Source organism: Homo sapiens, chromosome X (assembly GCF_000001405.40).
Source record: "Homo sapiens chromosome X, GRCh38.p14 Primary Assembly".
In the NCBI taxonomy this organism is placed as follows: Eukaryota; Metazoa; Chordata; class Mammalia; order Primates; family Hominidae; genus Homo; species Homo sapiens.
In genome coordinates this window covers 15,227,711-15,240,885 of record NC_000023.11, presented here as the reverse complement: position 1 = coordinate 15,240,885, position 13,175 = coordinate 15,227,711, and positions in this window count along the sequence as shown.

Below are 13,175 nucleotides of genomic sequence, written 5' to 3'. Positions count from 1 at the left end.
AGGTCTTCTGAGCTCATTGGTTGTTGGCAGAATTCAGTTCCTTGCAATTGTAGGCTGAGGTCTCTCTTTTCCTGCTAGTTGTCAGCCGAGATTGCTCTCATCGTCTGAAGACCAGCGACAGTTTTTTGACATGTGACCCTTTCCACAGGATATTCTTGATGTCGATGTGCACTTTCTTCCAGGCCAGGTGGAGTGCATCTCCCTGACTTCCTACCTTGTGACCAGCTGGCTGGCGGCAAGAGCTCTGCTTCTAAAGGGCTCACCTGATTAGGACAGGCCCACCCTGTAATTTGGGACCTTAATTGTATCTTCAAAATCACTTCAAAGCACCACCCAGGATAGTGTTTGATTGAATAACTGGCAAAAGAAGTATGTACACCAGAGGCTTAGAATCTTGGGGGCATCTTAGAATTCTGCCCACCAAACCTGTTAATACCTAATAGCCATCAGTTCTGTGTTGATTTATCTGAAGTACAATACATAATATCATAATTATGATTCTTTTTTTTTTTGACACAGCATCTCACTCTGTCACCCAGGCTGGAGTGCATTGGCGCCAGCTCAGCTCACTGCAACCTCTGCCTCCCGGGTTCGAGCAATTCTCCTGCCTCAGCCTCCCAAGTAGCTGGGACTACAGGCGCAGGCCACCACGCCTGGCTAATTTTTGTACTTTTAGTAGAGACGGGGTTTCACCATGTTGGCCAGGCTGGTCTCGAACTTCTGACCTCAGATGATTCGTGCGCCTCGGCCTCCCAAACTGCTGGGATTACAGGCGTGAGCCACTGTGCCCGGCCATGATTATTTCTTTTTTTTTTGTGCCCCCCCTCCCCCGCCCCCCCACCTGCCCTGCATAATGATTATTTTTATTCCATCCAACATGCATACAGTGTTTACTCCATGCCAGGCATGGCCCTAAGAATTTCACAAACATCAACTCATTTAATACTTATAATAATTCTATTATATAGGTGCTGTTATTATATCCATTTTACAGCTACGGAAACTGAGGCTTAGAGAGGTCAAGCAACTTCCCCAAGGTCATACGCTTCTGTCAGTTTCCTTTAATCACATCAAGCCTACATCATCAAGTTTGGCAGTGTGATGAATGAAAAGTCCAGGTGGGGCCAGGAAGTGGGACTTCTCAGCCTTGACGCTTCCCTTTGGGGCCTTTTCACTAAGTACAGGGCCACTGGCGTGCTCACCTAGCGGGTGTGGTGTGGTGGGGGAGTGCTGTTCTCTCTTCTGCTGGCCTTCATGACTCTTCTATAAATCTAAGCAAGAAAGTTCCAAGTAAGCAGATGTTTTACAAGAGGCTTCATTAAAGTTTGTGGAAACGAAGAGGGAAGCTGAGTTTGCTACAGGTTCACCTCCTGGCCTAGCTTTTGGCCAACATCCCTGGGATAGAGGACATTGGTGCCTTACCTCTCCTGACTTCACTTATCTGTGATGTTTCCTCCACATCCTGGAGAGTGAAGCCCAGAGAGAAAACGAGCCTCCCTTCTGTTCAAGGCCCACCTCCCACACTCTGGTTTCTTGTCTCATTCCACGGTGGTGTCACTGGGAGTGACCAGCTCCTACTCATTGTGAAATAGACTTACTTCATGACCACAGACCAATCTTATCATATGGCTGAGGTGCCTGCAAATTCCAAAGGCGTGCACTTCCAGAGGCAGGGCAGGGGGGCTTTCTGTTAGATGTAACCTGGAGGTTTTGTTTGTTTGTTTGTTTTTGTGAGTAAAGAACAGGAACAGCTAGGGCTTCCTATGTCTTGATCCATCCTTCCCTTCAGGGTGTTTGGACTGGGGAACTAAGGAAGTCAGTCTCAGGATTGGTTCTGCCTTGGGCTCTTCTGAATGAGAAACAAGGCCAAAATCCTTGGCAGGGTCCTCTCAGTACAGAAAAGGGTTCAATCTTCATGCTATCACCTCTATGATGTGATAAAGAAGAATGTGTTACTACCTAATATACCCTCCAAGACCTTTTGACTCCTTCAAGTGTATAAATTCTCACTGATTTGACAAGATTGATTTTCTACCCTTTACTTTGCAAAATCCATTGTGAGACCGAAGCAAGTAAAATTGATTTCTGCTCACTTCCTTTCCCACCTAAGGCCTCTTTGCTCATTCCTGAAGATATGAGATTTTCTAACTTTCAATGCCCTTTTGAAAAGCTTGGGGTTTTTTTAGTACAGTAAAAATCAGATGGTTCTACAGGTCTGTGTGGGAATTTTAATGTGATATTCTAAGTGTTGATGTGTCATTCATTCAAGAAGACACCTCTGTTGTATCATACTTGGAAGCCTAAGTATTTACATTGTAAATGTTGAGCTATGACCATGAAAACTGGGGATAGTATAGTATCACCTTGATTTTCATTCAATTCACATTTTGTGCATTTCGCTTAAGGATGTGCTTCAGAAAGCCAGTGGTAGAAATTTATTCCTCTGAGTTGCATTGTACAGAATCAAATGTAGCGGGTCTGCATTTTATTTTTCAACATAAGGTTTAAAGAATGTCCTTTTTAGTTCTCTAAAGAGAATTTAATTGATTCTTAACCACCATCAGCCTGGCTGGAAATTCAACATTAGTCACAATATGGGCTCCACTGAAGGGTTAAGCAGAGATATCACGGGTTTGTGTTGCCCAGAACATACAAGAAGGGCCCTTTGGTCTTAGGTCCAGGTGGCCGCTAATGATGTTTGTAGTCTAGGCCCATGTGGTTCTTTGGAGGCAGGAGGCTCCGAGGCAACCATGTAACATAATGCTCAGGCTGGGGCTGGGAGCCCTAGTGCCTGAGACCCAGCCTTCCTACAGAGACCCTGTAGCCACTCCCTCTTAATGCTGTGCCACCTCTCCAACACAAGCTGTTATGTGGGAAGAGGACATGAGCACCAGCTTCTGGGACCCATTCCCAAACCCCAGATCCCCTTTAGTCTTGGAGAATTAAAGTCTCTCCATGTTAGCAAACTCTACCCTAGGTCTCCAAGTGCTCTCTGTCTTCTAATCCTGGGAAAATCTAGCATAATTCCCTCAGTGAGTTTCAGAGATGCAAGCCAAGAAAGTGGGCACTCATCACAGAAGGCACCTGCCTCTGGGGAACCATAACCTTCAACTCTGCAGCACAAATGTTCCTGAGCCCAGGGAAATACAAGCTTGGATAATTTCTATTCGCCAACAAAACAGAAAAAGTGATTATAGGGAGGTGACTTTGGAGGTTGGAGAATAAGAAAGATGTAAAGTAATTGTCTCCAAGAGTGGGAAAGTTAACGTTACTAGATAAACATGGTAGGCTTGTTAGGTATGTTGAGTGCCCACTTGAGCACCGTGGTCATGCTTGTTTTCCTCCAGCCATATTTAGTGCTCAGGTACAGCTGTAGCTTGGGTAAAGAACCGGGAAAGAGGAACAATGGAGTTAAGGGGAGTATCCAAGAGTATGACTGCTGTCTAAACTGCGCAAGGAGGGATAGGAGGACTTGCGAGGGCAGGGATGGTGTATGGTGAAAAAGTGATAGGGTCAATGGACTGGAGGTTCTAGTGGTCTCAGTGAGTCAAAGAACTATTGGTGTCTGGGGTACTAGAGTGAGTGAATTAGAGAGAGAGAGAGGGCTTGATGGTTAGTGAGAGGCTCGAAATCAAGATTTTACAGGTAGTTTGGTTATTGGAGATGGCAGACTCTAAGAGAAAGTGGGTGGATTAAGTGATGTAGATGAGAAGATTATTGGAAGTGAAGACTTCAAGGGACAGAGACGCTAGGATGCAGGGTGAATTGTCTTCGCTATGAGTGGAAAAGTTGTCAAGAACAATGACAAGCATCAACGATTAAAAGGAAGATAGAAATGGCTTTTATCCAAAAGACAGACAATAACAATTTCTGGCAAGGATGTGGAGAAAAGGGAACCCTCATACACTGCTGGTAGGAATGTAAATTAGTGTAACCACTATGGAGAACAGTTTGGAGGTTTCCCAAAAAACTAAAATTAGAGCTACTATATGATCCAACAATCTCATTCTGAGGTATATAACCCAAAAGAAAAGAAATCAGGATATAGAAGAGATATCTGCACTCCCATGTATATTGCAGCACCATTCATAATAGCCAATATTTGGAAGCAACTTAAGTGTCCATCAACAGATGAATGAATAAAGAAAATGTGGTACATACGCACAATGGAGTACTATTCAGCCATAAAAAACTGAGATCCTGTCATTTGCAACAATATAGTTGGATCTAATAACCTGACGTTTCTTTTCTTTTCTTTTTTTTCTTTTTTCTTTTTTTTTTTGAGACGGAGTCACGCTCTGTCGCCCAGGTTGGAGTGCAGTGGCGCGATCTCGGCTCATTGCAACCTCCGCCTCCCGGTAATAACCAGACATTTCTTGATGACCACAACAAGGAGGAGTGGGGGGTTGTGTCCTCTGATGGTATGTATGTAAAAAAACCTAGATGTTTGACAGAGAAGAACAAGAAATGATCTAAAACAGAGGTTGACAAACAATGGTTAGCAGACGGAATCCATCTTGCCACCTGTTTTTGTAAATAAAACTTTATTGGCAATTGGCTACACCCATTAATTTACATATTGTCTATGGCTGCATCAGCATGTCAGAAGAGTTGAGAGGTTGTCACAGAGAGCAGATGGCCTGAATAACTTAAATTATTTACTATCTGGTCCTTTACAGAAAAAGTTTTCTGACCCTGATCTATAATTAGCAATGAAGAGCAAAACATTAACCTCACAATGAGAAGTAAGCACAATTAATATAACAATAATTTTTATTGCCACACGAATGTCAAATCCTTCTGCTCCTTCTGCTCTAGATCATCAGATCAAACATTTTGGCTCAGTTGATTTTTTTCATGGTCAATCTATTCATTGGATGGCTGAAATGATAGAATGGCTGCTTGTTTTACCTTTATGTATGTATATATTTTTTCTTTTGAGCCTAAGCCAGCTTACATGATTGATTTAGAGGTAAATTTCATAATGTGCAGATCCAGAGCACCATTCATTTAAAAAGTAAACTGCAGACTATGGCACTATTCTTTGGTTTGTTATGGTACTGAGTAAAGATGCTAGTGGATATGTCTTCCATGACTGATTTCCTATTCAATCTTACCTTGTTCCCTGTTGTTAGTCCTGAGAATATGAAACCATCCTACATTGCTTTGCCCACTGTCTAATGAGACAGGGATAGACAGCACTCTCAGGGTAGTCAATCTGTATGCTTATCAGTGGTCACTGATGTTTCTTCTTTGGAAAATTTGAATCAAGCAATACAAAGACTCAGAGAATGGACAACTGAGTCAGATAAGTGGTAGGACACCAGAGTAAGTATGCACGTATGTGTATTGTTAAACTTCCTGAAACTATCTTCTTCATTCCTGCTTTTCCTGGAACCTATACAGCTTCCTCTTCCAGGAGATCTTTATCCTTTTACTTAACCTAACTTGAGTAGATTCTATTCGTTAGAATCTAATGATTACTAAGAGCATGTGAGTGTCCAGTTCTTGGTCATAAGTGGGTCTATTGGCTTGTCTCTTCCAGGAATTCAGATAAGATGTGTTCCCCAGGCCAGCAGTCCTTCATGCTGCTTGTCATAAGGAGAAAAGAATATGGAGAGAGCAGCATAGATGCAAATCAGCCTTTACTCGTTGGAAGACCATTGCTGGCAGGAACCTAACTGAAACAGAGCCAACAGGTACAGTCCTCTTCCAGTATCCTTGGGGAATTGGTTCCAGGATCACTGTTGGATACTAAAATCCACAGATGCTCAAGTCCCTGACATAAAATGATACAGGATTTTCATATAACCTAGGCACATCCTCCCATGTACTTTAAATCATCTCTAGATTACTTAAAATACTGAATACAATATAAATACTATATAGTTATTGTACTGTATTTTTAATTGTTATGTTTTAATTGTTTTTCTTCAATATTTTTGAAATCTCTGGATGCAGAACCCATGAATATGGAGGGCTGATGCTATACAGTCTGTAACAGATATACTTTTCTAGTCTTTTTTTTTTTGAGATGGAGTCTCGCTCTGTCACCCAGGCTGGAGTGCAGTGGCGCAATCTCGGCTCACTGCAAGCTCCGCCTCCTGGGTTCACGCCATTCTCCTGCCTCAGCCTCCTGAGTAGCTGGGACTACAGGCGCCCGCCACCACACCTGGCTAATTTTTTGTATTTTTAGTAGAGATGGGGTTTCACCGTGTTAGCCAGGATGGTCTCGATCTCCTGACCTCGTCATTCGCCCGCCTCGGCCTCCCAAAGTGCTGGGATTACAGGCTACTTTTCTAGTCTTAACGGAAAGGACTGACACCCAAATAGCAAGGGTCGCTGGAGTCATTTGCCACCCAAGGATAGTCTAGGTATTCTCTCAGACAAAGCTAAGAGTAATCATTTGAGATGAAAATGGTTTCCTTGGAATATTTTTATTAACTAGAGCATCACCTTGGTGGTTTTCCTCCCTGCATTTTCCAGAACTGACATTAACTGTGGTGTTTGTAGGAATGTAATTCAAATGTGGCTGTTATCAGTTATATTCTGGACCTAACTGCTGGTGATAAAAAAAAAATTTAAAAAAAAGTTTCCTGCACAGCCCCTAGCTACCAACAGTTAGTGATGTAAGCAGTCCTTGTTGTGCCCTTCAGTTCATTAATAAGCTCTTCTGATCCAATCGCTGCCTATGTCAGTTGGGTTTAGTGAAAATGTACTCTGTACTCTGGGGATTTAGTAGCAGACAAGAGGAAGAACCAAACGTGTGCCAGTACCAGCTACAGGGAAGACACTACACCAGGGATTTGGAAAGACTTTGACCAGTGGAAATCTCGATTTGTCAGTTTCCAAGGCTTTAAATATACTCTTTCTCTTGCCTGGTCAATGATGACATTGTTCACTCTGATTAATGAATAAGCAATTCTCTGTCTTTAGCTCAATAATCTGTGGATTGAAGGCAGCTGTTCTACTATGGATCCTCACCAGTGGCAGTGATGCTAAATTGGTTGCTCAATGATGCTGGCAGATAATTCTCCTTGAGCTGTGAATTTCTGTGTCTCATGTGATTTCCACTCTAGGTCAGGACTGGAGACAGCTACTTTGAGAGAAAAACTTTGGTTTGATGTGAGACTTCCAACTGTACTGTGCTAAAAGAAGTCATTAAAACAAACAGCTTTTTCTGTAACTTTCATCTTCTTAGGCTTGTCATAGAGGGCAAAGGTCCCTCTTTAAGTGGAGAGTCACGGAATAATAAGCTTCTCTGAATTAGTTTGTTAGTCACAAGAAGAATGACTCAGAAATCAGTTAGGACGCTTGTTTTCCCCAATGAGAATAACAGAACAATATATGATATATGGCTGCTTTCAATATAGAAAGCACTTCATCACATGATTTACCTGACCACCAGAGGCAACATAATGACATTTTGTCATGGACACTAGTCGTTGAGTAGTGATGTGCTGGTAAAATGTTTAACATCCAAATCCCCAGTAAAAAATTACAAGCACTTGGTTTGTAGTGTTTGCCAGTTTCTGTGGTGTAGAAATGCCTACCATGGCCAATTTCAAGCTACCAACATGACATAACCGAATGCAAAATTTGGAAACAAATTTGCACATCCAGCTTTTAAGAGCCAATACCACTGACTCCAGTCATGACTGCCTTCTGGGGACAGTTAGACTATGTACAATGAGGCTGGCTTTTGTTAACTGCTTCAGAAGAATGCCAGCTTGTGGGGAGAGCTAAGGGAGATGTTTTGATGATGTCCCTCACACAAAGGTGTGCCTCACTTTTATGGCTTAAACACAAGCTAAGGACAAACTTGTTTATTTATTTATTTATTGAGACGGAGTCTCGTGCTGTCCCCAGGCTGGAGTGCAATGGCGTGATCTCGGCTCACTGCAGCCTCTGCCTCCCAGGTTCAAGCGATTCTCCTGCCTCAGCCTCCCAAGTAGCTGGGATTACAGGAGCATGCCACCAGACCCAGCTAATTTTTGAATTTTTAGTAGAGATGGGGTTTCACCATGTTGGCCAGGCTGGTCACAAACTCCAAGCTGTTTAATTTGATGAGGCTTCATTTGGCCACTCTAGGTAAATTGTGTGTGACTGACTACTATTTCAGTTTCTTATTGTGACAGTACAGAATTGTAGAAAGAAGTTGGTATTGGGGTGGGGTGTGGCATGTTAGTGGAAAGATCTTGCTTCTATACCCAACTCTTCCAATTACTGGCTATTTTACTTTTGGGAAAATTATTTACCACCTGTCCTCTTCCCTTCCTTCCCAACAGCTTATGAAAAACAACCAGCCAGCAGCTTCTTCCCAACCAACTCAACAGCAAACCTGTAGCATTGTGTGGCCAGGTGCCATGGCTCACGCCTGTAATCCCAGCACTTTTGGAGGCTGAGGCAGGAGGTTCGCTTGAGTCCAGGAGTTCAAGACCTATAGCATTGTGTATTTTGCTTTTCATCTTCTCTACTCTCCCTCTGGGAGTTTAAACAATAGAACACTGATTGGAAGACAGAAACAAGATGTTAGGAAACTCGGGAAACCTGGAGCAAACAGTTGCCTCTGAAAGGATTTCACTGCTTTTGAGAGGTGACAGCGTGCTGGCAGTCCTCACAGCCCTTGCTCGCTCTCGGCGCCTCCTCTGCCTGGGCTCCCACTTTGGCGGCACTTGAGGAGCCCTTCGGCCCGCCGCTGCACTGTGGGAGCCCCTTTCTGGGCTGGCCAAGGCTGGAGCCCACTCCCTCAGCTTGCAGGGAGGTGTGGAGGGAGAGGCGCGAGCGGGAACCGGGGCTGCATGCGGCGCTTGCGGGCCAGCTGGAGTTCTGGGTGGGGGTGGGCTTGGCAGGCCCCGCACTCGGAGCAGCCGGCCAGCCCTGCTGGCCCCGGGCAATGAGGGGCTTAGCACCCGGGCCAGTGGCTGCGGAGGGTGTACTGGGTCCCCCAGCAGTGACAGCCCACAGGCGCTGCACTCGATTTCTCACCGAGCCTTAGCTGCCTTCCCTCGGGGCAGGGCTCGGGACCTGCAGCCAGCCATGCCTGAGCCTCCCACCCACTCCATGGGCTCCCATGCAGCCCGAGCCTCACCAACGAGCACCACCCCCTGCTCCACAGCGCCCAGTCCCATCGACCACCCAAAGGCTGAGGAATGCGAGCACACGGCGCGGGACTGGCAGGCAGCTCCACCTGCAGCCCTCGTACGGGATCCACTAGGTGAAGCCAGCTGGGCTCCTGAGTCTGGTGGGGACGTGGAGAGTCTTTATATCTAGCTCAGGGATTGTAAATACACCAATCAGCACCCTGTGTTTAGCTCAAGGTTTGTGAGTGCACCAATCGACAGTCTGTATCTAGCTGCTCTGGTGAGGACGTGGAGAACCTTTATGTCTAGCTCAAGGATTGTAAATACACCAATCGGCACTCTGTATCTAGCTCAAGGTTTGTAAACACACCAATCAGCACCCTGTGTTTAGCTCAAGGTTTGTGAATGCACCAATTGACACTCTGTATCTAGCTGCTCTGGTGGGGCCTTGGAGAACTTGTGTCGAAACTGTATCTAACTAATCTGATGGGGACGTGGAGAACCTTTGTATCTAGCTCAGGGATTGTAAACGCACCAATCAGCGCCCTGACAAAACAGGCCACTCAGCTCTACCAATCAGCAGGATGTGGGTGGGGCCAGATAAGAGAATAAAAGCAGGCTGCCCCAACCAGCATTGGCAACCCGCTCGGGTCCCCTTGCACACTGTGGAAGCTTTGTTGTTTCGCTCTTTGCAATAAATCTTGCTACTGCTCACTCTTTGGGTCCACGCTGCTTTTATGAGCTGTAACACTCACCGCGAAGATCTGCAGCTTCACTCCTGAGCCCAGCGAGACCATGAGCCCACCGGCAGGAACGAACAACTCCAGACACGCTGCCTTAAGAGCTGTAACACTCACCGCGAAGGTCTGCAGCTTCACTCCTGAGCCAGCGAGACCACGAACCCACCAGAAGGAAGAAACTCCGAACACATCTGAACATCAGAAGGGACAGACTCCAGACGTGCCACCTTAAAAGCTGTAACATTCACCGTGAGGGTCCACGGCTTCATTCTCGAAGTCCGTGAGACCAAGAACCCACCAATTCCGGACACACTTTCACATTGGAAATGGGATTTTCCCATTTCAAAAAATGAATGTAATTTGATCATTGGACTCACTAATCACTTTTGAATTCACTAATCTTTTTAATACAATTCAAAGCAGTTGCTCTCAAACTGTAAAATCACACACAGAAATTGGAAAAATACTGATTTCCCAGGCCACAGACTTGATGATTTAGAATCTCAATCAGGGTGGGGAGTGGAGAGGAAGGGCAGACTCTATATTAAAAAAAAAACTCCTCAGATTACTCTGATACAGATAAATCTTAGGAAATCATTACTCTAGAGCAAAGAAGGACTTGGTTATTATTCAACAGGGTAGCACTCAAAGTTAAACTGTATTTTCCAGACCATCAGTCCAAATGGAGGCTTCGACAGAGTAATGTTTTCAGTGATAAGCCAAATCTCTGTATCAGTGGTCCATCGAAGCAGCTTACCATCAAATTTTGAGATCCCCCAAACTCACTGCTAGTGTCCCTGACTGAAAACCCCTGTGGTGCTTGCCAATTCCCAGTCATTCTGTTCTCCCAGCCCTCAGGCAAAGTCCCTGAAAAAAAAAACGCTTCTGAAAGTATTAGAGAACCTGAAAGAGATACCATACCTAGGTGACTCCGATTACCTTCAGAGGCTGAAATAGCTGTCAGGAAGAGAAGCTCTTAGCCACTTGCAGCCCTTCATGGGCATCACTTTTTGGTCTTGAGTCAATGTAGATTAGGTGCATCAATTCCTATTGCAGCTGACCATCAGTTAACATCTCTGTTCCTTATCATAACTGACTTGAGTATAATCAGCAGGTGAACACACGCTCTATCATTGTCCATCTTTCTAAGCTTCTGTGTATTGATTTTCAGCCTCGGAGCTGGGCCAAAACAGCCTTGAACTCAAAGCGATTTTTCGACACTGCATTTTTATTTAACTCATTCATTTATTCATCAAATATTTGCTATAGTACAGGCAATGAAGATACTGCAGTAAAAAAAAAAAAAAAAAATTAAGCCAGAAACCCTGCTGTCATGGAGTCTCCCAGTGAGATGATAATAAAAATAATAAGCAAAGTAACAAATACATAGGTAATATGATGAACAAAATAAGTAAGTAAAAAATATAATATGTCAGATGGTGATAGGTGCCATGGAGACAAGTAACTCAGCATCAAGGAGGAGGAAGAGTTGGGGGTAGGGATTGTGCACTAATGATGGTGGCAGTTAAACAGCACTTGATTGCTAAAAAATACTCACAGGACCCTAAATGACAATGCTTAAATATCTGGAGTTTATTACAGGAAAAGGATACAATTGAGAAAGAGCATTAATGTAAGGCTATACATCACAGCCAAGGGCTATATGGTAACAAGGGATTGGAGAGATCAAGAGTAGGACTGTCTTCCCTCCATAAGGGCCCTGGTAGGATGCACTCTTGCTTTCTGATCAGCAGCCAGTATCTCCTTGAACCTGGAAACCCAAAATGGAGTTTTAACTGAATATTTTTTTTCTTTTTTGAGGCGATGTCTCGCTCCGTCACCCAAGCTGGAGTGCAGTGGTGCAGTCTCGGCTCACTGCAACCTCTACCTCTCGGGTTCAAGTGATTCTCCTGCCTCAGCCTCCCAAGTAGCTGGGACTACAGGCATGCGCCACCACGTCTGGCTAATTTTTGTATTTTTAGTAGAGACGGGGTTTCACTATGTTGGCCAGGCTGCTCTCGAACTCCTGACCTTGTGATCCACCCGCCTCGGCCTGCCAAAGTACTGGGATTACTGACTGGAGATTTTTAAAAATATATATTTATTTTGCTGGCTACATATACATACTCCTGCTGTGTAACCAGCCTTGGCAGCAGAGACCTCTCGGGGGTGGGGGCTGGGGGGCTCACCCTGACCAGGTGCAGATCACCAATCTCATGGTTATCAATAAACAATGCTGACAAGCTGGTACAAACCTCCCCAAACTCCTCACACCCATGGTTACACAGCAACACTATTAACCAATGGGTTTCATGCCTTGGCCAGGGATCAGTGCCATATAGATACAGGTGCATTTCTTATTTCAACAGAATAACTTAGGCCAATTCTATAAGTGCTGCAATTAACTCTCACAGCACAGATTGCAATTCCGAATAGCAATTCTAAATTCTAAATTGCAATTCTAAATAGCAGGTCAAAATCTCAAGGCAGTGACAAAGACAGCTACACAGAAAGTTAAACGAAACTTTGTTTTTTTTTTTTTTTCTTTCAGGCAGGAAGATCAGTAAGCACAAAGGCCCCGAGGCAGGACCATATTCAGAGAAAAGCAGGGGGCCAGTCTCTGAGACCAAGACTGAATGAATGATGGGGAAACAGATGATCTCAAAGTTGTAAGGAACAGATGCTGGGTGGAAATCTGAATTACATTGTCTTCCAAATGTTTTAAAATTCTGCCTTGCTTTTTCCCTTCATATTGCAATGGAGTATGTCAGTTCATTAGATCTGTGGTTCTTGACCTGGGAGTCTATGGATAGAATTCAGGAGTCCTGTAAATTTAAATTTTAAAAATCTAGTTTTTATTAAACTCCAACTGAAATTGAACATCTCTCTTCATTAGGAATGCAGGAAACTGGAATAGTATTAGTAGTACCTGTACCTCTGTCATCCATAAATATCACAGAGTTTGTTTTTTTTTTAATTCAAAATAGAGTCTTGCTTTGTCACTCAGGCTGGAGCGCAATGGTGTGATCATAACTCACTGCAGGCTTGAACTCCCAAGCTCAAGTGATCTTCCTTCCTCAGCCTCCCCAGTAGCTGGGAGTACAGGTGCATGCCACCATACCCAGCATTTATTTTATTTTATTTTTTAGTAGAGACAAGGTCTTGCTATGTTGCCCAGGCTGGTCTTGAATTCCCGGGCTCAAGCAATACTCCCCTCTTGGCTTCCCAAAGTGCTGGGATTACACAGGTGAGCTACAACGCCTGGCCTCACAGAGACTTTTGCATCAGATTATAGTTGTTGCAAATATTCTGAAATCATCTTTTATGGTCATGATTTCTTTGAAATTACTGT